The 27815-nt window shown below is 46.8% G+C and overlaps 1 long non-coding RNA gene across 1 annotated transcript in view, besides 2 other annotated features; it reads right to left on the minus strand.

Moving 5' to 3' along the window:
* Window positions 1-996: 996 nt before the first annotated feature.
* The window catches only part of LINC01509 (long intergenic non-protein coding RNA 1509), a 46302-nt gene continuing 19483 nt past the window's right edge, over window positions 997-27815 (minus strand). The window contains exons 4-8 of the long non-coding RNA NR_121581.1: window positions 27193-27281; window positions 11428-11614; window positions 9005-9132; window positions 7994-8048; window positions 997-1133 (exon numbers count right to left, since the gene is read on the minus strand). This is a non-coding gene — a long non-coding RNA (long intergenic non-protein coding RNA 1509). The remainder of the gene's footprint in view (window positions 1134-7993; window positions 8049-9004; window positions 9133-11427; window positions 11615-27192; window positions 27282-27815) is intronic.
* Window positions 17571-18241: an enhancer, noted in NCBI's record as "H3K27ac hESC enhancer chr9:110199139-110199809 (GRCh37/hg19 assembly coordinates)". NCBI's record gives its function as "activates a minimal SCP1, AML or CMV promoter by ChIP-STARR-seq in primed H9 embryonic stem cells {active_cell/tissue: H9 hESC(primed)}" and the evidence as "EXISTENCE:reporter gene assay evidence [ECO:0000049][PMID:30033119]".
* Window positions 18912-19582: an enhancer, noted in NCBI's record as "NANOG-H3K27ac hESC enhancer chr9:110200480-110201150 (GRCh37/hg19 assembly coordinates)". NCBI's record gives its function as "activates a minimal SCP1, AML or CMV promoter by ChIP-STARR-seq in naive H9 embryonic stem cells {active_cell/tissue: H9 hESC(naive)}" and the evidence as "EXISTENCE:reporter gene assay evidence [ECO:0000049][PMID:30033119]".

The raw sequence follows: 27815 nt of genomic DNA on the forward strand, positions 1-27815 counted from the left end.
AGGGAGATCACTTGAGGTCAGGAGTCCGAGATCAGCCTGGCCAACATGGCTAAAACCCATCTCTACAGAAATATAAAAATTAGCCTGGTGTGGTGGTGGGTGCCTGTAATCCCAGCTTCTTGAGAGGCTGAGGCAGTAGGATTGCTTGAATCCGGGAGGCAGAGGTTGCAGTGAGCTGAGATCGAACCACTGCACTCCAGCCTGGACAACAGAGAGAGACTGCGTCTCAAACAAAAACAAAAACAAAACAAAACAAACAAACAAACAAAAAACCCTACAACATCAAAGTTTGCTAACTGCTGTATACAATCTGGTGTTGCTTCAAGAGTTCCAGTGACCTGTCTTTCGGGATGTTTCATTCTCCTGCTTCAATCCACTCTCACTTCTTCAGGTCTCTTGCTCAATTGTCTGCTGGGACAGCCTCTACTGCTTGCCGGGTTGGTTTCACTGTTCATGGAACCCGTGTCTTTATTTTCCTGGCATTCTCCTTCATTTTCCTGTTGCACTTTTTGGTGGTTGTTGTTGTCCCACTGCTTCACTGCCCTTCCCCCACCAGCAGAACTTGGACGCTTTTGAGCTCTGTGATTTGGGACAAGCAATGGGACCTCCCTGACCCTCAGCTTTCTCCTCTGTGAAGATGATAATACCTTCCCCACAGGATGAATTGAGATGATGGAGTGGAGAGTGCTCAGGGCTGTGGCTGGCATGTTGTAGGAGATCAGAAATGGTGGCCCATCTGGAGCTAAGCAGTGACGCAGCTAACTCGGTGCTTCAGTGCTCCTCCTCCCTCCGCTCCTCTCCCCATCTCCCTCAACAGGACTTCTTCTCCAGCCCTCACCTTCAAAGAAGGATTATATGGTCATGCGCACCAAGGCATCTCCAGGAATCAGAACGGTTCATGAGTTTTCTAAAAAGTATTTATTATGGAAAATTTCAGATGCACACAAAACTAGAAAGAATAGCATAATAAACCACCATGTACCCAGCTACAGCATGTATTAACCCATAGACACGTTTATTTTATCTGTATCTTCATGCATTCTCCACGCCCCACTCTTCATACATAAAGGATCATTTTGAATCAAATCCCACATCTCACATCATTTCACTTGTAAATATTTCAGTAGGTAGCTCTGAAAGATAAAAATTAAAAACATACAATGCCATACGTGCATCTACAAAATTAAATAATTTATTAGTATAATCCCATCCACTGTTTAGATTTCTCTGATTTTATTATAATTTTTAAAAATGGTTGGTTTGTTGCAATCAAGATGCAAGCAAAATCCACGTATGGGGTTTGGTTAATATGTCTCTTTAGTCTTTTTTAGTCTAAAGGCTTCTTCTCTCGCTTATTTTCTTCCTCTTGCCATTTATTTGTTGTTGTGTTTTCACTTGCGATTATTGTCCTATATCTAGAGTTAGCCACATTCTAGGGTTTGCCAGTTGCAACCTTGGGATGTCATTCTACCCAGAGGCTGATTCTTTGGTGCCTTTGTTCCAGTGTAGACATGCAGCATGCAAGCAGGAGGGGGCTCAATGAAAGAGCAGTAGGTCATCTTTTCCAACCTTGCCACATCAGTGCCCTGACCAGCCACACCACTAAAGTGCTCTGGTGAATTTCTTTTCCAACACCCTAATGCTGAGGCTTTCCAGCCATCCACCCATCCATCCATCACTCATTTCCTTGGCCATCCACCACCCATTAAATGTGAGGATACTATGGCCCAGGCACTGAGCCTAGTGCTGAGGATACAGGGCTGAATCAGACCCAGCCTTGATCCTCAGGGTGGTCAGGGCCAGTGCAAAAACAAGCAAGGAGATAAAATATGCTGGTACTAGGCTTTCCTGCTGCATTCTCATTGCAGACTTGCGTGAAAGGGAGCTTACAGCAGGAGTCCCACTGGACATTAGAAAAAGCTTCCAAAGGCCAGGTGTGGTGGCTTATGCCTGTAATCCCAGCACTTTGGGAGACCGAGGCAGGCGGATCACCTGAGGTCAGGAGTTTGAGACCAGCCTGACCAACATGGAGAAACCCCATCTCTACTAAAAATACAAAATTAGTCGGGCGTGGTGGTGCATGCCTGAAATCCCAGCTCCTCGGGAGGCTGAGGCAGGAGAATCGCTTGAACCCAGGAGGTGGAGGTTGCAGTGAGCTGAGACTGTGCCACCAGACTCTAGCCTGGACAACAAGAGTGAAACTCCGTCTCAAAAAATAAAAAAATAAAAGAAGAAGAAGAAGAAGAAAAGAAAAAGCTTCCAAAGTGGCTCCTGAAATGTCTGTCACAGGACTCAGCCAGGCAAGGGGGAGGGAGTGAAGGGTGAGGAGGAAAGAGAGGACATTCAGAACAGGCGAACTGCAGGTGCAAAGGCCCGGAATCTAGGGAAAGCAGAGTCTGTGGGAGGAACAGCCAGTGTTTCAGGATGGCTAAAGCAGAGGTTGTGAAGGGCAGGGACGACTTTAGACCTTAGAGGCCCCAGGCACTGTTATTTTCCAAGGCCCCACCCCCACACTATACCATGCTTATTAAAATTCACCCACATCACACAGGAAATATGAGTTATATATGGCTACCTAAGGTTGAGGCCAGTTGCAAAGACAATTGACATGTTACATTTTGTAGACATTTAATTACATATTTATCAATTACAACTTGACGGCTTTCTTGTTTTATCAGTTTTGGAGGATGTACATAAATATATAGAATGAGAGTCTCAAAACTAATCTTGTAGCTACGCCTGTGATGGGCTAATTGATGAATCAGTGCTGGAGAATGGGTCACAGTGGCAAATGAGGCTGGAGAGGCCCGTGAGCTGCTGTCCCAGAGGGCCTGGGATGTCCTGCAGGGAGCTTGGCATGAGAAACCTTGGAGAGTTTTAAGCAAGGGCTGATGTGGGCTGCCTAGAAAGGCATGGATGAGAGAAGCCTGGAGACAGGGATCCCAGGGAAACGCCCATGCAATTAGTCTATTTCTGCTGCAAGTAAGCATGCATTTGTAGGCTTGATGCTTTTTTTCTGCTTCTCCAGCCCTGGCCTGGGTCAATCCTTGGGGCCCAGACTGAGCACGTGATGGCAGAGGAAAGGAAGCCCTGCTTCCTCCAGAGGGCGTCGCAGGACAGCTTTTCCTAGACAGGGGCTAGTATGTGCAGCTCCTGCACCGGGATACTGGTTGACAAGTTTGGCTGGGCTGGAAGCCAGCACCTAGGGAGGTCCCTGGAAGGGGCCAGCCTCACCAGGAGAGGAGGGACCTGGCCCTTCAGGGTCGAGCTCAACAGAGGAAAAGATCTCAGGGCACCCAGAGCCCAGTGGCTTTCAGCACCTGCATGAAAATCAGAGATCAACCAGATTACCCCATATTGCCCAAGAGAAAACTGAGGCCAGAAAGTGATGGAGCTTGCCCAGGACCCCAGAGGGTGTTAGAGGCAGGCCAGAACCAGAGGACAGCTCTGTCCCAGCACTTGCCCTCCTTTAATTAGGTGGGTGGTCATATCGCAGTGGTCAGAGACATTGCAAACAATAATAATAAATATTGAGCACTTGTTACACGCAGGGCACTATGCTAAGCACCTTGTATTTGTTATGTCCTTTCATCCTAGCAACTTCTCTGGAAGTGGAGTAATATCTCCCCCATGTCCTACATAAGACAATGGATACACTGGAGGGTTAAAGCCATGCCTTGCCTAAAGTTACACAGCTGTGCTTAACAGCTGGAAAACCCCAAAGGGTCCCTCTGACTCAGCCCCTGTGTGCTCAGTTTTAATTTTGGGAGGGAAATAACAATGCCACCTTATAATACTTTCTAAGAATGAGAATTTTGTTCAGTGAAGTGGCCTTCTAGAGCTGGAAAATGAATTCATATACTCTTCATATTTTTAACAAGGATGTCGTAGTTAATTGATCCGTAGCCAGGAAGTTAGATTAACCAGGACACTTCTGGCCCCAAGCACTCTAGCTAGTTGATTAATGGAGACATTGCCATGCCAGCTAAGTGGCTTTGGAGTGCAAAATAGGATGAATTGCTCTTAGCAGAGACCTAAATCCTAAACTCAAATCCTCACATTTGGGCAGGTGATCAATGCTTAGGGAGCATCTCCTGCCCAAATGCGAGGATTTGAGAGGGACAGTCGCCTATACAGGTTCACAGAACTGACTGGCAGGACCAAGACGAGTCCTCTTGTATCCGAAGCCCAAACCCTTAATCTTGAAGCTCAGTAGCAAACCAACAAAAGACTGTTGCAGTCAGGCGTACGCCACGTTTACTTTTCCATTGCCAGGACTGGTAAGCCGAAAAGGCACCACAGAGGATCCATGAGAACGGGTACGTAAAGCATACAGATTAGAATTTTGGCTTTGTCACAAAGGCACTTGAAGGAGTCAACCCCTTGGAGGAGACTTTCAACATTCATTCAACAAATATTTACTATGAGCACTGGGGAGCCCACAGTGAACAGGATGTTCAAGGCCTGGGCTCTCAAGGATTTTACATTCTAAGGACGAAGAAAGTGGGGCTGGGTGGGGACGGGGAGAGACAAGAAATATAAAGAGACTGTTAAGTGCTATTAGGGCAATAAAACTGGATAATATGACAAAACAGGGATGGAGTGGGACTGTTTAGTTAGTAGCCAGGTATGAGAAATTTGAGTTGAGATCTGCATGATACGAAAGAAGGAAGCTGGTTGGGTGCAGTGGCTCATGCCTACAACCCTAACACTTTGGGAGAACGAAGCAGGTGGCTCACTTGAGCTCAAGAGTTTGAGACCAGCCTGGGCAACATGGCAATATCCTGTCCCTACAAAAAAATACAAAAAAATAGCTGGGCGTGGTGGCAGGTACCCATAGTCGCAGCTACTCAGGAGGCTGAGGTGGGAGGATCACCTGAGCATGGGGATTCGAGGCTGCAGTGAGCCATGATTGCACCACTGCACTTCCAGCTTGGGCAACAGAGTGAGACCATGTCTCACAAAAAAGGAAAGAAAGAAAAAAGAAAGTCATGCTGAAAGAAAAGCATTGCGCGCAGAGAGAAAAACAACTGCAAAGGCCCTGAGGCAGGAATGAAGCCTGGCCCATTGGAGAACGTCTGGAATAGCTCTGTCTAACAAATACAGTGTGAGTCATGGGCATCATTTTAAATTTTCTAGCAGCACATTTTAAAAACAAAAAGAAACTGGTAAAATTAATTTTAATATGTTTAATTTTTTATTTTATTATTATTATTATTATTATTATTATTTTTTGAGACGGAGTCTTGCTTTGTTGCCCAGGCTGGAGTACAGTGGCATGATCTGGGCTCACTGCAACCTCCGCCTCCCAGGTTCAAGTGATTCTCCTGCCTCAGCCTCCTGAGTAGCTGGGATTACAGGCGTGCGCCACCACGCCCAGCACATTTTTGCCTTTTTAATAGAGACGGGGTTTCACCATTTTGGCCAGACTGGTCTCGAACTCCTGACCTCAGGTGATCCACCCGCCTCAGCCTCCCAAAGTGCTGGGATTACAAGCGTGAGTAACCACACCCGGCCTGATTTTATTATGTTTTATTAAGCCAAGAGACAAAAAAAAAAATTAATGACATTTACCTTTTTTTGTTTCCTACTAAATCTTCAAAGTCTGGTGTGGGTAGGAGCACATTTCAAGCGCTCAGTGGCCACATGCAGGTACCTAGTGGCTAGCATTGGGCAGGCCAGTGTGGGTGGTCCTAGGAGCCTTGGGAGGGTTTTAAGTCAGGGGTCAGAACTAATGGATTCTAATGATTCAGAACATCCCAGCTAGTTCTTGGAATCTCAGAGGCGAAAGCTCTCCTTGTACTCTTTGGCGACGCTGCCTCCTGGCGCAGGTCGCTGCACACAGAAGGGAAAGCCCCCAGCTCTCCTTCCCGGCGGAGGCTTCTTCCCTCCCCCCAGAGTCTGGTTCAGAGGAAGCCAACGCCTGTGCACGTGGGAAAGCAGCGTGGCTGGCCCTGGGCCTGGAGCCACCTCCCGGGCCCACTCTGCCAGGCCCCATTCTAGATGCCAGCAGGCCGGCCCCGCCCCTTGGACACGGTTTTGGTTTTCGGGTGCAAACAGTCTACATTCCTCTGAAGAGGCCCGCTCCGGCCTCATCAGAGCTGGCGAAATCAACGAGAGAAACAGGGGACGTCGGCCCGCAGTTCCCGCGAGCGCCACGAGGGGCGCACGCAGATGAGGCTCGCAGCGTTGGCTGCCGCTGAAGCTCCTGGAAGTCCCCCTTGTCCTCTTCCCCGTGGAGACCCCAGGCGTACCACCACGATGTTCCTTCCACCAGCCTCACCCTGAACCCAGTAAACTCTCCCTCGAGCGATGACTTAGGTTCTCCAGGGTCCCAGGCCTTGTGGGAAAGTGCCCGCAGAGCAGGCCAGAGACAAAGGAAAGAGCGGGTAGCTGAGACTCGGGAAGCCCATCCGCTTGATATGGGGATAGGTGGAGACTACGGTGAATCCAAAGTCTGTGGGTTCCGAGACTGGAGCCAGGAACAAAAAAAGATTCCACTGTTCGGATGTTTTCATCCCTGAGGCTGAAATAACAGCTGAGGCCTGACTACTCACGTGGTGTCTGTGGCCAGAATAGGACCCACATAATAATGGCTTAGCTCAGGGAAGGGACTTTCTCATTCCATAGCGCAATACCGTCATAAAGGCAACAACAATGGACGCCTCGCCTCTGCCCTCTCCATATTTCTGTGCTTTCCAATGGCATCCCCAAAACAGTGTGACAACGCTTCACTACTGGAGGACCCTGGAGGGACCTAGAGTTGGCCGATTGCTAGAGGAGTAAGAGATTGGCCCAGATGGTTCCTCACCTGTTAGTTCACCCTCCCTCAGCCACTTGTTAGCAAGAGAAGGCTGTTTGGGGTGGGCTTTCTGGTAGGGAGGGGGTCATACTCATCTTTCTAGAAAAACTATCCCTGGAAGGGGGTCATACTCATCTTTCTAGGAAAACTATCCCTGGATTGTGTTTGACAACGCTTTTGCAAGAAAGCATCCAGCTTGAGGAGTAGCTTACCTCAAACAGCCCTAATGATATGGCACAGCCAGCTCACCAAGGAATGTACAAGCTGCATTTCCAAAGCTGCAAGACGAAACCAAATGACTACGTATGCCCTGGACAGAGTACGATTAGGAGGATATGAAGAAAGCAAGCCTTGGCCAGTCGCGGTTGCTCGTGCCTGTAATCTCAGCGCTTTGGGAGGCCGAGGCAGGGGGATCATTTGAGGTTAGGAGTTCGAGACCAGCCTGGTCAACACGGTGGAACCCCGTCTCTATTAAAAATACAAAAACTAGCCAGGCGAGATGGTGCACGCCCGTAATCCCAGCTGCTCCAGAGGCTGAAGCAAGAGAATAGCTTGAACTTGGGAGCCAAGATCGTGCCACTGCACTCCAGCCTGGGCGACAAAGTGAGACTCCATCTCAAAAGAAAAAACAAAGGAAAAAAGAAAGCAAGTCTTGGTTTGAGAAGAGCACGTTGACGAGGTGGGTCATAAACAGGAAAAGTCAAAGAAAAAGAAAACAGTCTGGGTGGGGCACAGTTGCTCATGCCTGTAATCCCAGCACTTTGGGAGGCCGAGGTGGGCAGATCACCTGAAGCCAGGAGTTTGAGACCAGTCTGCCCAGCGTGACAAAACTCCGTCTCTACTAAAAATACAAAAATTAGCTGGGTGTGGTGGTGCACACCTGAAGTCCCAGCTACTGGGGAGGCTGAGGTGGGAGGATCACCTGAGCCCAAGGAGGTCAAGGCTGCAGTGAGCCATGATCACGCCACTGCACTCCAGCCTGGGCAACAGAGTGACACGCTGTCTCAAAGAAAATAAATAAATAAAGAAGACAGTGTGGAAGGGGCCTGAGAAAAGTGTAGGATTTGGAAACGGAAGGAAGAAGAGAAGAGTGTGACCTCTTATTAAGTGCCTTCTGTACCTCCAATGGACCATAGCCTCTACTAAAAAGTACTTGCATGTACTTTGAATGTATTTAGTCCTCATAGTAACCTTCTGAGGGCAGGTCCAAATCCATAATGTCTGCAATTCCAAGTTTCTGAAAGCTCTGAAAAAGTGGAAACACTTTTGTAACTTATTTGGTGGTGAAACCTAATTTATAATAACATGAGTATCCCACTCAGTGTGAATAGTAATACTTTTGCTGTGAAAAACACTAATGTGTTTGATATTTGCGGGCTGCCCTAGACTCCAGTTGGGTGTTGTGTAATTTATATACATGTACTTGCTGCCTTTCTAAAATCCAAAACATTCTGAATTGAGACATATCTGGCCTGGAGAGGTTTTTTTGTTTGTTGGTTTGTTTTGTTTTGTTTTTTTGAGACGGAGTCTGGCTTTGTTGCCAGGCTGGAGTGCAGTGGCATGATCTCTGCTCACTGCAACCTCCGCCTCCTGGATTCAAGTGATTCTCCTGCTTCAGCCTCCTGAGTAGCTGGGACTATAGGCATGCGCCACCAGGCCCAGCTAATTTTTGTATTTTTAGTAGAGACGGGATTTCACCATGTTGGCCAGGATGGTCTCAATCTCTTGACCTCATGATCTGCCCACTTTGGCCTCCCAAAGTGCTGGGATTACAGGCGTGAGCCACTGCGCCTGGCCTGGCCTAGAGAGTTTTAAGTCAGGGATTGTGGGCTTGTATTATTCCCACTTTTTTTTTTTTTTTTGAGACAGGGTCTCACTCTGTCACCCAGGCTGGAGTGTAGTGGCACAATCACAGTTCATTGCAGCCTTGACCTCCTGGGCTCAGGTGATTCTCCCACCTCAGCCTCCCAAGTAGCTGGGAGTACAGGCATGCTCCACCATGCCCAGCTAATTTTTGTATTTTTTTGTAGAGATGGTGTTTGCCATGTTACCCAGGCCAGTCTCAAGCTCCTGAGCTCAAGTGATTAGCCTGCCTCGACCTCCCAAAGTGCCAGGATTACAGGTGTGTGCCACTACACCTGGCCTATTATTCCCACTTTACAAATGAGAAAGCTGAGGCTCAGTAAGGAAAGCAACACGTACTGGGCCACTGAGGTGTCAAATTTGATGTCAAAGTCGAAGACTGCAGTCCTGGTTCAGTTTCAAATAAGGGACTGTGATGCCACGAAGCAGAACGAAGACTGAGCCTGGATCACAATGCAATGGCCTGGCTGGAGAGAAAGTTGCATGGGTCATTTATAGCTCACAGAGGCAAAGGTAACCTACCTAAGAATGGATCCAGAAGGCAAAAGGGACTGCCCTGCCCTCAAGAGATGTCGGTATCTCCAGTGTGCTGGGAATGGGGCTCTAGGTAGGGCAAGATGCCTCGGCATGGTGGCTCTGAGATCTGAATCCAGAGATCCACAGCTGTGGATTAGCAAGCTACTCTGTTTCTCTATATGTTGGTTTCGCCTTCTACAATATGGAGCTAGTAATCATATTTGCCTCCTAGAGCTGACATCAATATTAAATAAAATATGTTTGAAATAATTGAGCATAGTGCCTGGAACATAGTGAGCCTTCAATGAACATTAGCTGTCACTATTATTACTCTCAAAGATGAGCATGCATACCTCTTGGGGAGTTCCAAGTCTCAGTATAGATGTGGTGAATATTCTTGGATTGGCAGTTTTACTTGTTTTCAAGTAATTTAAGTCTTTATCTTTTCCCCCATTAAAACTGGCACAGAATGAATATACTTAAAACTACTGAAACTTAAAAATAGTTGGGCCGGGCGTGGTGGCTCACGCCTGTAATCCCAGCTCTTTGGGAGGCCGAGGTGGGCGGATCACAAGGTCAGGAGATCCAGACCATCCTGGCTAACACGGTGAAACCCCGTCTCTACTAAAAATACAAAAAAATTAGCCGGGCGTAGTGGTGGGTGCCTGTAGTCCCAGCTACTCGGGAGGCTGAGGCAGGAGAATGGCATGAACCCGGGAGGCAGAGCTTGCAGTGAGCCAAGATCACGCCACTGCACTCCAGCCTGGGCAACAGAGTGAGACTCCCTTTCAAAAAAATTAAAAAAAATAGTTATGATGGTAAATTTTACGTTTATTTTACTATAATTAAAAACTGGTGAAACCCTGTCTCTACTAAAAATACAAAAATTAGGCTGGGCGCAGTGGCTCACACCTGTAATCCCAGCACTTTGGGAGGCCAAGGTGGGTGGATCACGAGGTCAGGAGTTTGAGACCAGCCTGGCCAACATAGTGAAACCCTGTCTCTACTAAATATACAAAAAATTAGCCAGGCGTGGTGGCGGGTGCCTGTAATCCCAGCTATCTGGGAGGCTGAGGCAGGAGAATCACTTGAACCTGGGAGGAGGAGGTGGCAGTGAACCGAGATTGCGCCACTGCACTCCAGCCTGGGCGACAGAGTGAGACTCCATCTTTAAAAAAAGAAAAAAAAACTAAAATTTTAAAGACTGGCACAGATCTATTAGGGAATAGAGTGCAAAAGCACTTGAATAAAAATGAGATTTTAAGGACTTCCTAGCAGTTGGGGTTTGGGGGATATGGACTGATTGGGGGGAAGGTAGAGAGGCAGAGTTTACAAATAAACTCTCTCAGAGGACTTGTCTGCCCACTTTACTGAACTTGACCCAGGGTTATAGAGTTTGATGAGCTCTGTAAGCATAGGCAAATCAAAGTTCTGCAAATCTTCAGAACACTAATATTCATGGGCACTTTTGTCACATGTTTTAGGTCCTACGCTGGACATCAGGGCAGACACAGGTGTGACAAGCTCCCTGGGTTAATGGTGGGAACATAAATGTATAGAGACAACATTAACAAGCACAGAACTCACTAAGTGCGATGAGGGGTGTTTGGAATTCTGTGAACACTTTGAAGGGCTTTGGGGAAAGAATAACTATCTCTGCAAAGGCAACAAGGAGTTGGGAAAATGTTGTAAAAAAAAAAAACAACCCCCAAGCATGGTTGAGAGTACTTTCACTAGTCAGTGAGTCTCATCAGCAGCACCTGGAGAGCCTGTTCGAACACAAGTGGCTGGTCCCCATGCCCAGTGTTTCTGATTCAGTAGGTTTAAGATGGGGCCCAACGTTGGCATTTCTTTTCTTTCTTTTTTTTTGAGACGGAGTCTCACTCCGTCGCCCAGGCTGGAGGGCAGTGGCGTGACCTTAGCTCACTGCAACCTCCACCTCCCAGGTTCAAGTGATTCTCCTGCCTCAGCCTCCTGAGTGGCTGGGATTACAAGTGCCCGCCACCACCCAGACTAATTTTTGTAGAGATGGGGTTTCACCATGTTGGCCAGGCTGGTCTCAAACTCCTGATCTCAGGTGATCCGCCTGTCTCAGCCTCCCATAGTGCTGGGATTACAGGCGGGAGCCACTGTGCCCAGCCCACATTGGCATTTCTAACAAGCTCCCTGGTGATGCTGCTTCTCTGGCCCAGGGGCTGCACTATGAGAACCACTGAGCTGGATCAAGAGGAGGAGAAAGGACCTACCATGAGGTTGGGGAAAGGATGTGCAAAGACACAGAGGAGTGAGAAGGCCACAGGTGTTCAGAGGGCGATGAGCAAATCCGTGAGGCTCCAGCATGTGGGCTGCCAGGTGCCAGATGATGGAGGGTTCATGTGCCAAGCCCAGGAGTTTGGACTGGATCCTGGAAGTGAAGGACGTCTAAAGGAGGTTCTTGTGGAGGGAAGAATACAAAAAGACTAGCAGTTCTGCAAGATCACTTTGGAGGACAGGTGGGGTGGGGAGGAGAAAATGGAGGCCAAAAGACTAGTTAGGAGGCTTTCACCACTAGTCTGTCAGATCCCACTAGCCAGAGTCCCAGGAGTAGGGAGAAATCAGAAACTCAGACAAGCAGCAGTTCCTGTAAAAGAGCAACCTGGACCACCACTGAGTGGGCAGTAAGTAGTGAGCCCAGGAGCAAATACTTTATGTGCTTCACCTCTTCACATACTCCTCACAGCCTTGGGATCAGGTGTTCACATCAAAGCTCAGAGAAGTTCAGGAACCAGACCAAGGTTAGGATGCAGCCAGATTCAAACCCGGGTGAAACCCATTCTCTCTCCAGCACTCCGCATTTCCCCACAGTCTAGATTCTTTAGGAGCCTGCCCCATTATTTCAGGTGCTTTGAGGCTATGTGTGCTGTAGGCATATGTGTTGTGAGTGCTCAGTGTGTGTGTTGGGTGGGTGTGTGTTCCGGGTATGTGTGTGTCGTGTGTGCACGTCTAGGTGGGTGTGAGTATGCAGTGTCTGTGTTATGTCTGCTGGATACTGCTAGATAGTTGCCTCCCAATCCCCTCCTCTCCCTCTTGTCACTGAAGGTGAAAGAGTCTCTTTGGAAATATTCATGGGGACAGAGAGAGCCAGGAAGGGAGGACTTTCCCATGCATTCAGTTTTTCCCATGATACATCAGGCAGTAAAGAAGAATGTCATCCTGACCATCGGCTTCCCTGACATAACGCTGAATAATTCTCAGACACTCGCAGGCCAGTTGAAGACAGCATAAAGCCAGCCCTGCAAAAATCCCGGGGACAATAGGAATAGTGGTGAGAACTTACTTGTTAGGTAGAGGTTTTTTTTTCATGGACTCAACTCAGGAACCAGCCAAAGGGAGAGATGTGAAATAATGAAAGAGGAAAGGATGGCAGGCCGGGAAGGATCACTGACTTGGAGTAAGAAAAGCTGAGTTCGGCCAGGTGCAGTGGCGCACGCCTGTAATCCCAGCACTTTGGGAGGCCAAGGTAGGCAGATCATGAGGTCAAGAGATCGAGACCATCACCAACATGTGAAACCCCATCTCTACTAAAAATACAAAACTTAGCTGGGTGTGGTGGCGTGCGCCTGTAGTCCCAGCTACTCAGGAGGCTGAGGCAGGAGAATCACTTGTACCTGGGAGGCAGAGGTTGCAGTGAATCAAGATTGCGCCACTGCACTGCAGTCTGGTGACAGAGTGAGACTCCATCTCAAAAAAAAAAAAAGAGGCCGGGCACGGTAGCTCACGCCTGTAATCCCAGCGCTTTGGGAGGCCGAGGAGGGCGGATCATGAGGTCAGGAGATCAAGACCATCCTGGCTAACACGGTGAAACCCCGTCTCTACTAAAAATACAAAAAAAATTAGCCGGGCGTGGTGGCGGGCGCCTGTAGTCCCAGCTACTCGGGAGGCTGAGGCAGGAGAATGGCATGAACCCAGGAGGTGGAGCTTGCAGTGAGCCAAGATAGCGCCACTGCATTCCAGCCTCTGCGACAGAGCGAGACTCTGCCTCAAAAAAAAAAAAAAGAAAGAAAAAGAAAGAAAAGCTCGGTTCAGGACTCCCAGCAGCCACTTACTGCTGTGTGACCTTGGACAAATCCCTTCCCCTCTCTGGGCCTCAGTTTTCTCAACCAGTCAAATTCAGTAGATGGATTAGATTAAGCCCCTTTCCAGCTTTGATGTTCTGTGCTTTTTCCTTTTTAAATGCACCTGACTGTGACTTTTCCAGGAAAACATCAAACATTTCAAAGGGCAAGCTTCTATGTTTGCCAGGCATCTTTTGTCACTCTTCGGCTGGCCTTGTCTACACTTCATGTTCAGGGGATTTTCTGTGATGCATGCGGTCTCTAATTTCTCGAGTTATATTTCCTTGTTTCTATGGGTTGACTGTTGCAGAAACAGGGCACTTTTTTTTTTAAACAAATATGCAGTCCCATGCCAACAGGAATATCCTGTTTACAGAAGCCTCCTTTTACAAGGTACCAGCTGTTTGAAAACATTTGTGTATTGCCACATAGAATAATCTCCCCATAAGCAACTATTTTTTTCCTAGTAACATCATTTTCTGCAATGCAATCATATAGTGGGAGAGAGCCCCTTGAAAAGCAAATATCCCACGTGCTTATCATGTTAATCTGGTTTCTTCCTCTCCTTCTATATTAGTTTTCTCAGGCTGCTGTGACAAAAGATAGTCATGTGCCACATAATAAGGTTTCGCTCAACAATGATCCCCATATACAATGCCTGTAAGTTTATAATACTGTGTTTTGACTGTCCCTTTTGTATGTTTAGATAGGTTTAAATACACAAATACTTACCATTGTGTTACAGTTGCGCACATAATTCAGTATGGTAACATGCTGTCCAGGTTTGTAGCCTAGGAGCGCTAGGCTATGCGATATAGCCTAGGTTTATAGTAGGCTCTATCAGCTAGGTTTGTGTAAGTACACTCTATGATGCTTCAATGACAAGATCGCCTAACAATGCATTTCTCAGAAAATATCCCCACTCTTGGCCGGGCACGGTGGCTCATGCCTGTAATCCCAGCACTTTGGGAGGCCGAGGTGGATGGATCGCCTGAGGTCAGGAGTTTGAGACCAGCCTGACCAACATGGTGAAACCCCATCTCTACTAAAAATACAAAACTACCAGAGTGTGGTGGTGCATGCCTGTAATCCTAGCTACTTGGGAAGCTGAGGAAGGAGAATCACTTGAACCCAGGCGGCAGAGGTTGCAGTGAGCCAAGATCTTGCCATTGCACTCCAGCCTGGGCAATGAGAGCAAAATTCCGTCAAAAAAAAAAAAAAAAAAAGAAAAGGAAGGAAGGAAAGAAAGAAAGAAGAAAGAGAGAGAAAGAAAGAAAGAAAGAGAGAGAGATAGAAAGAAAGAAAATATCCCCACTCTTAAGGGATGCATGACTGTACTGCTACCTGAGTGCCCTAAACAACAGAAATTTATTGTCTGACAACTCTGGAGACTAGAAGTACAAGATCAAGGTGTTGACAGGGTTGGTTCCTTCTGAGGGCTGTAAGGAAGAATCTGTTCCATGCCTCTCCCCTTGCTCCTGGCAGTTGTCTGGTAACCTTTGCTGTTCCTTGACTTGTAGAAGCATCACCACAATTTCATCTTCACATGGCATTCTCCCTGTGTGCATGCCTGTGTCCAAATCTCCCTTTTATTTTATTTATTTATTTATTTAATTTTTTTTTAGATGGAGTCTCACTCTGTCACCCAGGCTGGAGTGCAGTGGCCTGATCTTGGCTTACTGCAAGCTCCACCTCCCAGGTTCACGCCATTCTCCTGCCTCAGCCTCCTGAATAGCTGGGACTACAGGTACCCGCCACCATGCCTGGATAATTTTTTTTGTATTTTTAGTAGAGACGGGGTTTCACCGTGTTAGCCAGGATGGTCTCAATCTCCTGACCTCGTGATCCGCCCGCCTCGGCCTCCCAAAGTGCTGGGATTACAGGCATGAGCCACCGCGCCTGGCCCCAAATCTCCCTTTTATAAGAACACCAGTCATACTGGATTAGGGGCCACCCTACTCCAGTATCACCTCATTTCACTTAACAAATTATACCTGCAACAATGCTGTTTCCAAAGAAGGTCACATTCTCAGGTACTGAGGTTAGGAGTTGGACATATGAATTAGTGACATGTGAATTTGACATATGATTTTTTTTTTTAAGTGTGCACTTTTATTCAACTGGTCCAAGTCAGTGTACAGGCAAGCCCTGGCTGACTCCAGCACTCCCAGGGAGACAGAAGGCTTTCATACATCTTAAGTTGGGGGACAAAAAAGGAGGGGGTCACAAAGGCTGATCATTCAAAATAAAACAAAATAAAAAAGTATTAAGGCGAAGATTTAAAAAATTTTGCACTTTGTAATTTTTTTTTGTTTTGTTTTGAGATGGAATCTCGCTCTTGTCACCCAGGTTGGAGTGCAGTGGCGCAATCTCAGCTCACTGGAACCTCCACCTCCCGGGTTCAAGTGATTCTTCTGCCTCAGCCTCATGAGCAACTGGGATTATAGGCGCCTGTCACCACGCCTGGCTAATTTTTGCATTTTTAGTAGAGACGGGGGTTTCACCATGTTGGTCAGGCTGATCTCAAACTCCCGACCTCAGGTGATCCGCCTGCCTCAGCCTCCCAAAGTCCTGGGATTACAGGCATGAGCCACCGCACCCTGCCTGCACTTCGTAATTTCCATGAAAGCAATGCTATCACCTCCCCTGTGTGGACTCGGGAAAGGACTGGGCCATTCTCCTTAGAGAGGAGTGGGGTGCTTTTGGGAGGGCAAGGGACTTCCTTTGACATATGAATTAGTGGGGGAAGAACACAAAACAGAACACCTTTGCTCATCAACTTTTCTGTGAGGTGTGCGGTACTACCTTGGGGCTCAAGAAAATTCTGAATGTTCAGGTTCAGCGTCAACATAGGACTACCCTGTTCTTCACAGTAACAAAATCCTTTGCAGGAGTTTGCCGTGAGCAAGACTCTTCATATATATCCTCTCCTTAGATACAAATACCAGCTTCTGGAGGTGGGTTGCAAGGAGAGAGACAGATTGTCCAAGCTGGAGGATTCCACTAGTCTTGGATTTGAATCCCAAGTCAAACAATATTGGGTGAGGATTTTCTGATGATTATGCAAAAAGAAAACTAAAATCCCCCACATTTCTGACTAAGGAGGACAGCTAGTTAGATAGAAAGTGTTCCATTGTTAAACAGCTGTCTTCTTCAGCAATCACACAGAAAGGAAAACACCTTAGAGTATATGGTAGCATATGCTTTTGGGGGAAAACAAAAGTATCATATGGCCAGGCACAGTGGTTCACAGGCATTTTGGGAGGCTCATGTGGGAGGATCACTTGAGCCCAGGAATTCAAGACTAGCCTGGGCAACGTAGTGAGATCTCATCTCTACAAAAATTAAAAAAATTAACCAGGTGTGGTTGTGCACGTCTGTAGTCCCAGCTACTCAGGAGGCTGAAGTAGGAGGATTGCTTGAGTCTGGAATGTTGAGGCTGCAGTGAGCCATGCACTGCCCTCCAGCCTGATTGACAAAGCAAGGCTCTGTCTCAAAAAACAAACAAACAAACAAACACAGTATCATATGTGCGTTTTTAGAGATAAAAAGGTTACCACTCTCTAAGTGAGTGAAAACATTTAGGAGACACATTGAAGCCAGAAGTGCAATCTTTTGTTTACAAATAATTGTTGAGCACTTAGTATGTTTCAGATGTCTGCTAACTAGCTTTGAATATATACAGATTACCAAAAAAGAAAATAAGCCCACAACACCTTAAATAGTCCCCCCGTGTGACACAGGTATGCAGCCATGAGGAGTGCAACTACAAGAAGAGTAGTTAACCATACCCGACCCAGAGGCTGCCGTGAAATCTATCACTGTTTTTGTACCAGCCACACTTCCCACAGGCTGCTTCTTGGTTTGACTGAGTGTGGCAGGCAATCCACAGCAGCCCTGTTCCTAGAGATGCTGGACTCCTGTGATAGGTGCCACTGGTTCAGGGACTCCCCAACACACCTGCTGAACTTTCTTTAGACTGAATGGCAGCCTAGGATTCCTCTACCCACGCTTCCTCCCTTATTGCCTTCACTTTGGGACAGAATTGCATCCACCTGCGGTCTGCCTCTTGCGACAACTCTACAGACAACTTATTTCCCTTTCCCACCCCTGGAGCTCCCTCAACTTCCCACTACTCCCTCCTGGTTTTCTCTCACAGGCATTTGTCCTAATGAAATCCCTGTGTGTTTAAACCCATCTTAGCATCTGCTTCTTGGAGGACCTGAACAAGAGGTGACTAAGACTTAGTAGCTTCACAACCATGAGGAGATATCACCTTGCATCCCTTAGGATAGTGATATCAATAAAAACAACAACAGAAAAGATCAACTGTTAGGCCGGGCGCGGTGGCTCACGCCTGTAATCCCAGCACTTTGGGAGGCCCAGGCAGGTGGATCAGGAGGTCAGGCGTTCGAGACCAGCCTGGCCAACATAGTGAAAACCTGTCTCTACTGAAAATACAAAAAATTAGCTGGGCGTGGTGGTGGGCACCTGTAATCCCAGCTACTTTGGAGGCTGAGGCAGGAGAATCGCTTGAACCTGGGAGGTGGAGGTTGTAGTGAGCCAAGATGGCGCCACTGCACTCTAGCCCGGGCGACAGTGTGAGACTCCGTCTCAAAAAAAAAAAAACAGTCGTGGTGACTGTTGCACAACGATGTGAATGTATTTAATGTCACTAAACTGTACATTAAAAATGACTAAAAGGTCAAGTGTGGTACCTCACGCCTGTAATCCGAGCACTTTGGGAGGCCGACACGGGTGGATTACCTGCAGTCAGGAGTTTGAGACCAGCCTGGCAAACGTGGCAAAACCCTATTTCTACTAAAAATACAACAATTAGCTGGGTATGGTGGCACACACCTGTAATCCCAGCTACTTGGGAGACTGAGGCATGAATATCACTTGAACCCGGGAGGCGGAGGTTGCAGTGAGCCAGGATTGCGCCACTGTACTCCAGCCTGGGCTATAGGGACTGTCTCAAAAAATAAAAATAAAAATGACTAAAGCAACTGGGTGCAGTGGCTCTCGCCTGTAATCCCAGCACTTTGGGAGGCGAAGGTGGGCAGATCACCTGAGGTCTGGAGTTCAAGACCAGCCTGGCCAACATGGTGAAACCCCAGTCTCTACCAAAAATACAAAAAAATTAGCCAGGTGTGGTGACACGTGACTGTAGTCCCTTCTACTCAGGAGGATGAGGCACAAGAATCACTTGAGCCCGGGAGGCAGAAGTTGCAGTGAGCCGAGATCATGCCACTACACTCCAGCCTGGGCGACAGAGTGAGATTCTGTCAAAAAAAAAAAAAATGGTTAAAGTGACTCGGGAGGCTGCGGTGGGAGGATCACTTGAGCCCAGGGGGTCAAGAATGCAGTGAACTGTGATGGTGCCACTGCACTCCAGCCTGTGTGATACAGTGAGATGCTGGCTGAAAAAAAAAAAAGAAAAGAAAAATAAATTAAAACAGAAAAATGATTAAATGATAAATTTTTATGTTACATATATTTTACCACAAATAAAAAATGTTTTAAAAACAAAAAAATTCTTGACTTTTGGAGAGTGACAAACTTGGAAGTCGGGAACCAGGAGGCAGTTTGGTTTGGGGTGGAGAGCCCTGGGCTTTTAGGTCAAGGGACACTGGTTTAAGGGAGTGATACGGTCAGAGCCTCTGTGTAGGCCAAGGAGTCCCTGATGTTGCCTCCAGGCTGCCGGACAGCTCACTGTGTCACCCTCATGAAGTGACTGCTCACATTTCTCTAGAAATAGGGAGCTCCCTCTGCCACCAAGCAGTGCTGACTTGTTAGAAATTTCCTCTTGAGGAGCTCCAGTGGCGCTTGGTTAGGGCATGGTACTTATGCAGAAAGGACCTCTTGATATGGAACCCAAGTTTGCATCGTTGTTCTGACCTTTGGGAACACTCAGGACAACTCTGTTTCCCTTCCCAGCCCTTCTCCATCTGCATGCCAATTGCTCCCTCACTCTACCCTCCTCCCAAAGGAATGCTGTTTACTCCAGGGACAAACAGCCCAAGGCAGGATTCCCAGCACCCCTTCATCCCTCTACCCAGCACCTGTCCATGGGTTGAAACACCCATGGATGAATGCCAAATCCTGTTGAAAAGTGCTTGGGGGTACCTGGATGAAAAGGCCAAAGAGGTGTAGGGCAGGGTGTTTATTCTTCAAAAGACCTAAGTGGTCCAAAGGCCTGTGTTTGCCAGTTTACCACTTGAAAACCGAAACTAACCTAATCTTTTCACTGTCAAGATAGTCCGTGTTTATACCTCATTTCAAGGAGCTGCATGATTCACCAGACAGCTGATAGTGATCAGAAAACATGTTTAGTATTCGTTTACTACTTTATAAGCTTGTATTTTAGACAACAGAGGGGTCAGAGGCCAGGTACAATGGCCCAGCACTTTGTGTAATCCCAGCACTTTGGGAGGCTGAGGCAGGCAGATCATCTGAGGTCAGGAGTTCGAGACCAGCCTGGGCAACATGGCAAAACCCCGTCTTTACTAAAAACACAAAAATTAGCTGGGCGTGGTGGCATATGCCTATAATCCCGGCTACTTGGGAGGCTGAGGCAGGAGAACCACTTAAACCTGGGAGACAGGGTTGCAGTGAGCAGAGATTGCACCACTGCACTCCAGCCTGGGCAACAGAGCAAGACTCTGTCTCAAAAAAAAAAAAACAAAAAACAAAAAGAGAGAGAGAGGGACAGAGAAAGGCAATGGCTCTTAGAAGATTTCCCCTAAGTGAACCATTTTGGTCATTTAAATACATCCTTTGTCCCCCACTATACCAAGAAAGCACTAGATGCCACATGCATACATGGCCAGGCTTTTCTATCTGGGAGTTTTTATTTGCAAAGAGATAAAATATAGACCTAGGCACAGGTCACAGTGGTTTGGCCAAATATCCAGAAGACAGAAAAGGAGAAGATACTTCCTTTCATACTTTCCTTTTAGCCTTTTATCTTCAAACTGTGATTATGAGAAGTAGTTAGGGGCTTGGGCTTGTCAAGGAACCCAGGTTCAAATCCTAGCTTTTATATACCGTGGACAGGCTATACAATTGCTCTGTGCCTCAGTTTTCTTGTCGGTAAATTTGGGATAAAAATAGTGACTCCTGGCCGGGCTGGGTGGCTCACGCCTGTAATCCCAGCCTTTGGGAGGCCGAGGTGGGTGGATCATGAGGTCAGGAGTTCAAGACCAGCCTGGCCAAGATGGTGAAACCCCGTCTCTACTAAAAAATACAAAAATTAGCTGGGCACAGTGGCGGGGGCCTGTAATCCCAGCTACTCTGGAGGCTGAGGCAGGAGAATCGCTTGAACCCGGAAGGCGGAGTTTGCAGTGAGCCAAGATCACACCATTGCACTCTAGCCTAGGCATCAGAGCAAGACTCTGTCTCAAAAAAAAAAAAAAAAAAAAAAAAATAGTGACTCCTGTAGAAGGGTATGAGTATGAATAACAGCCAGAAATTACTGGAAATTTTCTGTGGGCTAGGCATCGTGCTAAATCATTTATATACGTTGTCTCATTTAATCCTCAAGCCCAGGATGATCTAATCCCAAAGCATATGATCTTAACCACAGTGTGACACCTCATTTTATTAATTGAGGGATGCTTGTTAAAAAAAAAAAAAAAAGTAAGCCCAGCCTCAGTACAATAAGTTGCAGCATTTCCCTTCTACATGTGGCATGTGGACCTGAGGTTCAGAGAGATTAAACAAAGCTCTCTAGAGTCACAATGCCAGGAGATAATAAAGCCGGGGCTTAGCACTGGATCTTTCCTCCCCAAACACAAACAAAGTGTGCAAAGGCACAGAAGAGACTATCAGGCAGGGAGGAGGGGCTTTGAGCCAGACTTTAAAAGAGGAAAGGAGAGGGAAGAGGGGCAGGGAGGCATTCCAGGCAGGAGACTAGAGCATGGTTAAAGTCCTAGAGACATGGAAGTGCAGGGTGAATCAGAGTTCCGGAAATGGCACACAGGGGAGTGGGCTTGGCTAGGGATGTGGGAGCCAGGTGGGAGGGTATCCTAGGCCAGGTCACGGATACCTCTGAATGCCAGGCCAAGATACATCTGAACATTCACAGATCTTACCATCCAGCAATAAACTTCTTGAGATCTATACCCTAGATAAAGCCCTGCTCCTGTGCACCAGGAGATATACATAAGAATGTTCATAGCAGAATTGTAAATAATGGTCAAAAAAAAAAAACTACAAATAAGCATAATGTCTACCAACAAATAAATAAGATTTTTTTGGCTGGTTGTGGTGGCTCACGCCTGTAATCCCAACGCTTTGGGAGGCTGAGGTGGGTGGATCACCTGAAGTTAGGAGTTCAAGATCAGCCTGGCTAACATGGAGAAACCGCTCTCCACAAAAATACAAAAATTAGCCAAGCATGATGGTGGGTGCCTGTATTCCCAGCTACTTGAGAGGCTGAGGCAGGAGAATCACTTGAACCCAGGAGGCAGAAGTTGCAGTGAGCCGAGATTGCGCCATTGCACTCCAGCCTGAGCGACAGAGGGAGAATCCATCTCAGAAAAAAAAAAAAAAAAGATTTTTTTGTCTATTCACACAGTGGAATACTACACAGAAGTGAACATGAATGAATTAAAGCCACATTCAATAACATGGAAATAATAAGTAAAGAAAACAAGCTGCACACAATGAAGTATTATTCAGCCTTAAAGAAAAGGAAATTCTACGATTTGTGACAACGTAGATGACATTATGTTGGAGGACTTTATGCTAAGTGAAATAAGCCAGCTATAGAAAGACAAATACTGTCCCAGCCACTGGGAGGCTGAGGCAGGAAAATTGCTTGAGCCTGGGAGGCGGAGGCTACAGAGAGTGAAGACTGTGCCATTGCCCTCCAGCCTGGGTGATGGGAGTGAAACCTTGTCAAGAAAGAAAAGAAAGGAAGGGAAGGAGGGAGGGAGGGAGAAAAAACTCTGCATGATCTCGCTTATATGAGGCATCTAAAATAGTCAAACTCATAGAAGAACAGTGGCTGCCAGGGGCTGGTGGAAGGGGAAATAAAGAATTTTTGCTCGATGGGTATAAACTTTTGGTTATGCCAGATGAATAAATTCTAGAGATCTGTAGTACAACACAGCACGTAAAGTTAACAACATGGTGTTGTGCACTTTATGTTAGGCAGGGAGATTTCATGTTTAAGTGTTCTTACTACACACAGAAAGGGAAAAAAAAGAATACAAGGAAGTATTTGGAAGTGTTGGATATGTTCAGAACCTTAGTTGTGATGGTATCACAGGTATAGGCATATGTCCAAACTCACACAGATGTACACATTAAATATTTGCAATTTTTGATATATCGATTATACCTCAATAAAACTTTAGAACATTAGAATATAATGCCTTTTTTTATAAAGCTCAAAACAAGCTAAAAAGGCCGGGCGCAGTGGCTCATGCCTGTAATCCCAGCACTTTGGGAGGCCAAGGCAGACAGATCACCTGAGGTCGGGAATTCAAGACCAGCCTGGCCAACATGACAAAACCCCATCTCTACTAAAAATATAAAAATTATCCGGGCGTGGTGGCCCATGCCTGTAGTCCCAACTACCGGGGAGGCTGAGCAGGAGAATCCCTTGAACCTGGGAGGCGGAGGTTGCAGTGAGCCGAGACCACGCCACTGCATTCCAGCCTGGACCACAGACGAGACTCCGTCTCCAAAAAAAAAAAAAATAATAATAATAATAAATAAAATAATAGATTGTTTTCTTACAAATACACTTGGAGTAAACCCATTATAAAATAAAGGGAATGCAAACACATGGGGCCATGGGGGGTAGTCTGGGGTGGTCTTCGAGGGATGAGTTAGGAAGGACTCACCCCAGTGGATGCAATAACACTAGGAATGTTCTAATCCTTAACTTGGGTAGTGATTTATATGTATTCATCTTTTATTATATAAAAACATATAATTTATATATTTTTTATCTAAAAGCATATATACTCAACTTACATATGTAGTACATGTAACTTTTGTATGCATTATATTTATATTGCCTCCTAATACTAATTTATTTATTTATTTTAATTTTATTTTTTATTTTTTTAAATTTTAAATAGAGACAGTGTCTTGCCACGTTACTTAGGTTGGTCTCGAACTCCTAGCCTCAAGTGATCCTCCCACCTCATCCTCCCAAAGTGCTTGGATTATACCATGCCCGGCCACAATTTTTTTTTTTTTTTTTAGTGTAGAGGACTCTAGTAGAAATGCTCAAATGAATTAAATGAGTGAGATCTAAATTGCAGCCCCTCGTAACTTTTTTCTTTTTGAGATGGGGTCTCACTCTGTTGCCCAGGCTGGAGTGCAGTGGCACGATCTCATTTCACTGCAACCTCCACCCCCTGGATTCAAGCAATTCTCCTGCCTCAGCCTCCCCAGTAGCTGGGATTACAGGTGTGCGCTACCACGCCCAGCTAATGTTTGTATTTTTAGTAGAGATGAGGTTTCACCATATTGGTCAGGGTGGCCTTGAACTCCTGACCTCAAGTGATCTGCCCTTCTCAGCCTCCCAAAGTGCTGGGATTACAGGCACGAACCACCGTGCTCGGCCCCCTTGTAACTCTTGAGAATACAACAAGGTCACTGGAGCAATTCTATTAGATATGTAATACTGTTTCAATCTTTCATTCATTCAGCACCCATTCTCAGTTCCTCTATGTTCCAGAGATTTGGAGATAAAGAATTGGTCCTTGCTCTAGAGGAGCTCAAAGTGTTGGGACAGGTGTGAAATGTAGGAACCCAGAAATATCAAGTAGAGCAAAGCCATGCAATTAGCTCCTGGCTCCTCTGGGCCTTGGATGGTGGCCCCAGGTATGTGCTGTAGAGGAGGCCACGGTTGGCAGGGGTGGAGCTGGTTTCATCACTGGCAGATGTTGTCTTCTGTGCAGGGCCCCCTGTTGCTCTCTGCCCAGGTGAAGGCACCATCACACTGTTACACTTCCGCCAACCCACTATCGAGTGACTGTTTGCAGTCTGACTTCTTGACTTCTAGCTAGTGTGCATCCTCCCATACCCTCCCACCCCCAGTGCCCTGCACAGGACTTGGCAAGTCAGTGTTTGTTGGCTGTGTGAGGCTGTCAGAGTGTCCTGATATTGACCTTATATTTATCAGCTGCTTTGACCACTATGCAGAGTGTGCTGCTTCACACTGGGCTTTATGCTGGGAATATAAGACACAGCTCCAGTCCTCAAGGAGGGCTCACAATTTAGTCATGCCTCTCAGTGCCAGCCTGTTCCTCTCCTCAAACACTTAGGTCATTTTAAAACCCACTGGAAAACTAGATGTGGTCACAGGCACCTGTAGTCCCTGCTACATGGGAGGCTGAGGTAAGAGGATGGCTTGAGCCCAGGAGTTCAAGACAGTAGTGAGCTATGACCATGCCTGTGAATAGCCACAGCACTACAGCCTGGGCAACGTAGCAAGATCCCATCTCTTAATTTTAAAAAACCCTCTGAAAAATAAAGACATTATATTTTTCTTGTGAATCATGTATAAGATGATGAATCAAGTATCATTCCTTTTCTTCATCTTAAAACAACCTCTTTCTCATCTGTCTTGCAGTGAGCTCTTCTCCAGAAGTTGGAGTTAAATCTTAGGGTTTCTGCAGCACCGTGTGTTGCTGAGTGCTGGCGCACACCTGTAATCCCAGATACACCTTGCATGGAGTGACTTATTCACATGTAGGTTCTCCCTGCTGGAATCGATCCTTTTGAGAACAGAGACACATCCTTTATCTCCAACGTTGCCAGAGCCTGGCACAGTGGTGCTGCTCAAGCAGGAGCTGTTGAATGTCTGAAGGAAAGAAATTGTTTCTTGATTTTGATCATACATCTCTCCTCTCAGGCTTTGCCCTTCGAAACCCCAAAGCCCTAATATCCTCCGTGAGCTGCCTGTGTGTGCTGTACCTCGCAGCATCTCAAAAGAGGCCTAAAGCCACATTCTGTAGTCAGGGTGTGTGTATGCATGTGGGTAAAGATGCACAAACACGCACTCCGGTTATTCTGGTTACACAGCATCGCACTGAAAACCCCACAGTATCAGGCTGTTCTCATTTAAGTGCTTAAAAACAACAACCCCTTCCATTCACTCAAAAGTGCTTCATGATTTCCAAAGTGCTTCCACGTCCATTCACTCAGCTCAAAACTCACGGCCACCTTAGGAGGTGAGTAGGGCTCATTCCTTTCATTTTACAAATAGGGAAACCGAAGCTCAGAGAGGGAAACTATTTTGGCCAAACTCAAACAGCTCCACGTCTTCCAGTCCCAAAGTCAGAGACTTCCTGGCACATAGTGACGGGTTGGTATAGGAAACTACATGGTGCTTAGTTTCTGTCCAGGGATGAAGTTGCATTGCTCTCATGCCCTGGCTTGTTACTAAGACTGGGGTCAGAAGCTTGTTTCTCAGGCTGAGCTGAATGGGAAATAAAAACTTCACAGTAGAAAAGCAGTGCTCCGGCCGGGCGCGGTGGCTCATGCCTGTAATCCCAGCACTTTGGGAGGCTGAGGTGGGTGAATCACAACGTCAAGAGTTCAAGACTAGCCCGGCCAACATGATGAAACCCTGTCTCTACTGAAAATACAATAAATTAGCCAGGTGTAGTGGTGGGTGCCTGTAATCCCAGCTACTCAGGAGGCTGAGGCAGGAGAATCACTTGAACCCGGGAGGCGGAGGTTGCAGTAAGCTGAGATCACGCCACTGCACTCCAGCCTAGACGACGGAGCTAGACTCCATCTGAAAAAAAAAGAAAAGAAAGAAAGCAGTGCTCCATGTCTTGCAAGTTCAACAACTGTAGCTCTTCAGAGCCTCCACTCAGTATGGCTTTATAGTAGGCAGTCTTATTTCTGAATTAACTTAGCTATGTGTCCTTCCTCCAACGATTCGCAGAGGAGACACCTGACCCAGCCTGGGGTAGGAGTGCTGGGTATTGGTAAGAGAAGCTTCTAGAGGAATGAAAGCCTGAGCTACTCAGCTCAAGGATGAGTGGCCATTAGCCAGGCATGGGGTACAGTGAGTGAGGATACACAGAGGTCAGGCAGGGAGAAGGACATTAACCTAGGGAAAGAGCTTAAGTGAAGATAGACTTCATGTCTACACATCCACCTTCATGATTTTCACTCCATAAGATTGCCACCTATACGATATTTATGTAATATTCGTATTGGACTATATTTAAAATTTAAATATAATTAAATAAAAAAGACATAGTAGGTTGGGTGTGGTGGCTCACTCCTGTAATCCCGACACTTTGGGAGGCCGAGGTGATGGATCACCTGAGGTCAGGAGTTCAAGACCAGCCTAACCAACATGGAGAAACCCCATCTCTACTAAAGCCAGGTGTGGTGGCGGGCATCTGTAATCCTCAGGAGTCTGAGGCAGGAGAATTGCTTGAACCCAGGAGGCGGAGGTTGCTGTGAGCCGAGATCACGCCACTGCACTCCAGCCTGGGCGACAAGAGCAAAACATCGTCTCAAAAAAAAAAACAAAAACAAACAAAAAAACCCACATAGCACATCATGGGTTTGCTTGCTGCTTTTTTCTAATATACATTAAAATAAATACCTAGCTGGGCACGGTAGCTCACTCCTGTAATCCTAGCACTTTGGGAGGCCGAGGCAGGAGGATCACCTGAGGTCAGGAGTTTGAGACCAGTCTGACCAGCATGGAGAAACCCCATCTCTACTAAAAATACAAAATTAGCCAGGCATGGTGGCGGGCGCCTGAAATCCCAGCTACTTAGGAGGCTGAGGCAGGAGAATTGCTTGAACCCAGGAGGCAGAGTTTGCAGTGAGCCGAGATTGCACCATTGCACTCCAGCCTGGGTGACAAGAGTGAAACGCCATCTCAAAAATAAATGAATAAATAAATAAATAAATAAATACCTAATTATTCAAGTGAAAAAACAGTCATCCTTTTATTCCCACAAAATCCTCTGGTATATCCAGGTAGAATGAGTACCACATTTGGGAATCTGTAAACAAAGGCACAGCGATGAGTAAGAGTGTGGGGGTGATGGGGCTGTTGAGAAAGCAGCGGGAAACGGCAAGAGGGTGGGCAGGAGTGGTGGCTCATGCCCGTAATCCCAGCAGTTTGGGAGGCCGAGGCAGGCAGTTCACCTGAGGTCAGGAGTTTGAAACCAGCTTGGCCAGCATGGCGAAACCCCGTCTCTAATGAAAATACAAAAAAAAATTAGCTGGGCGTGGTGGCGGGCGCCTGTAATCCCAGCTACTAGGGAGGCTGATGTAGGAGAATCACTTGAACTTGGGAGGCGGAGGTTGCAGTGAGCCGAAATTGTGCCACTGCACTCCAGCCTGGGTGACAGAGCAAGACTCCGTCTCAAAAAAAAAAAAAAAAAAAAAAAAAGAGCAAAAGGGAACTGGGATGTGAGGACAGGGGACTGAACAGGACCCGAACTTGGAAGGGTTTGCATGCCTGACTCAGGCTGGATCATCTCAGAGTCGTGGAGAGACAGCCACTGAAAGGCTGTGCTATGAACAGGTCACAA

The sequence above is a fragment of the Homo sapiens genome, chromosome 9 (genome assembly GCF_000001405.40).
Source record: "Homo sapiens chromosome 9, GRCh38.p14 Primary Assembly".
Taxonomy (NCBI): domain Eukaryota; kingdom Metazoa; phylum Chordata; class Mammalia; order Primates; family Hominidae; genus Homo; species Homo sapiens.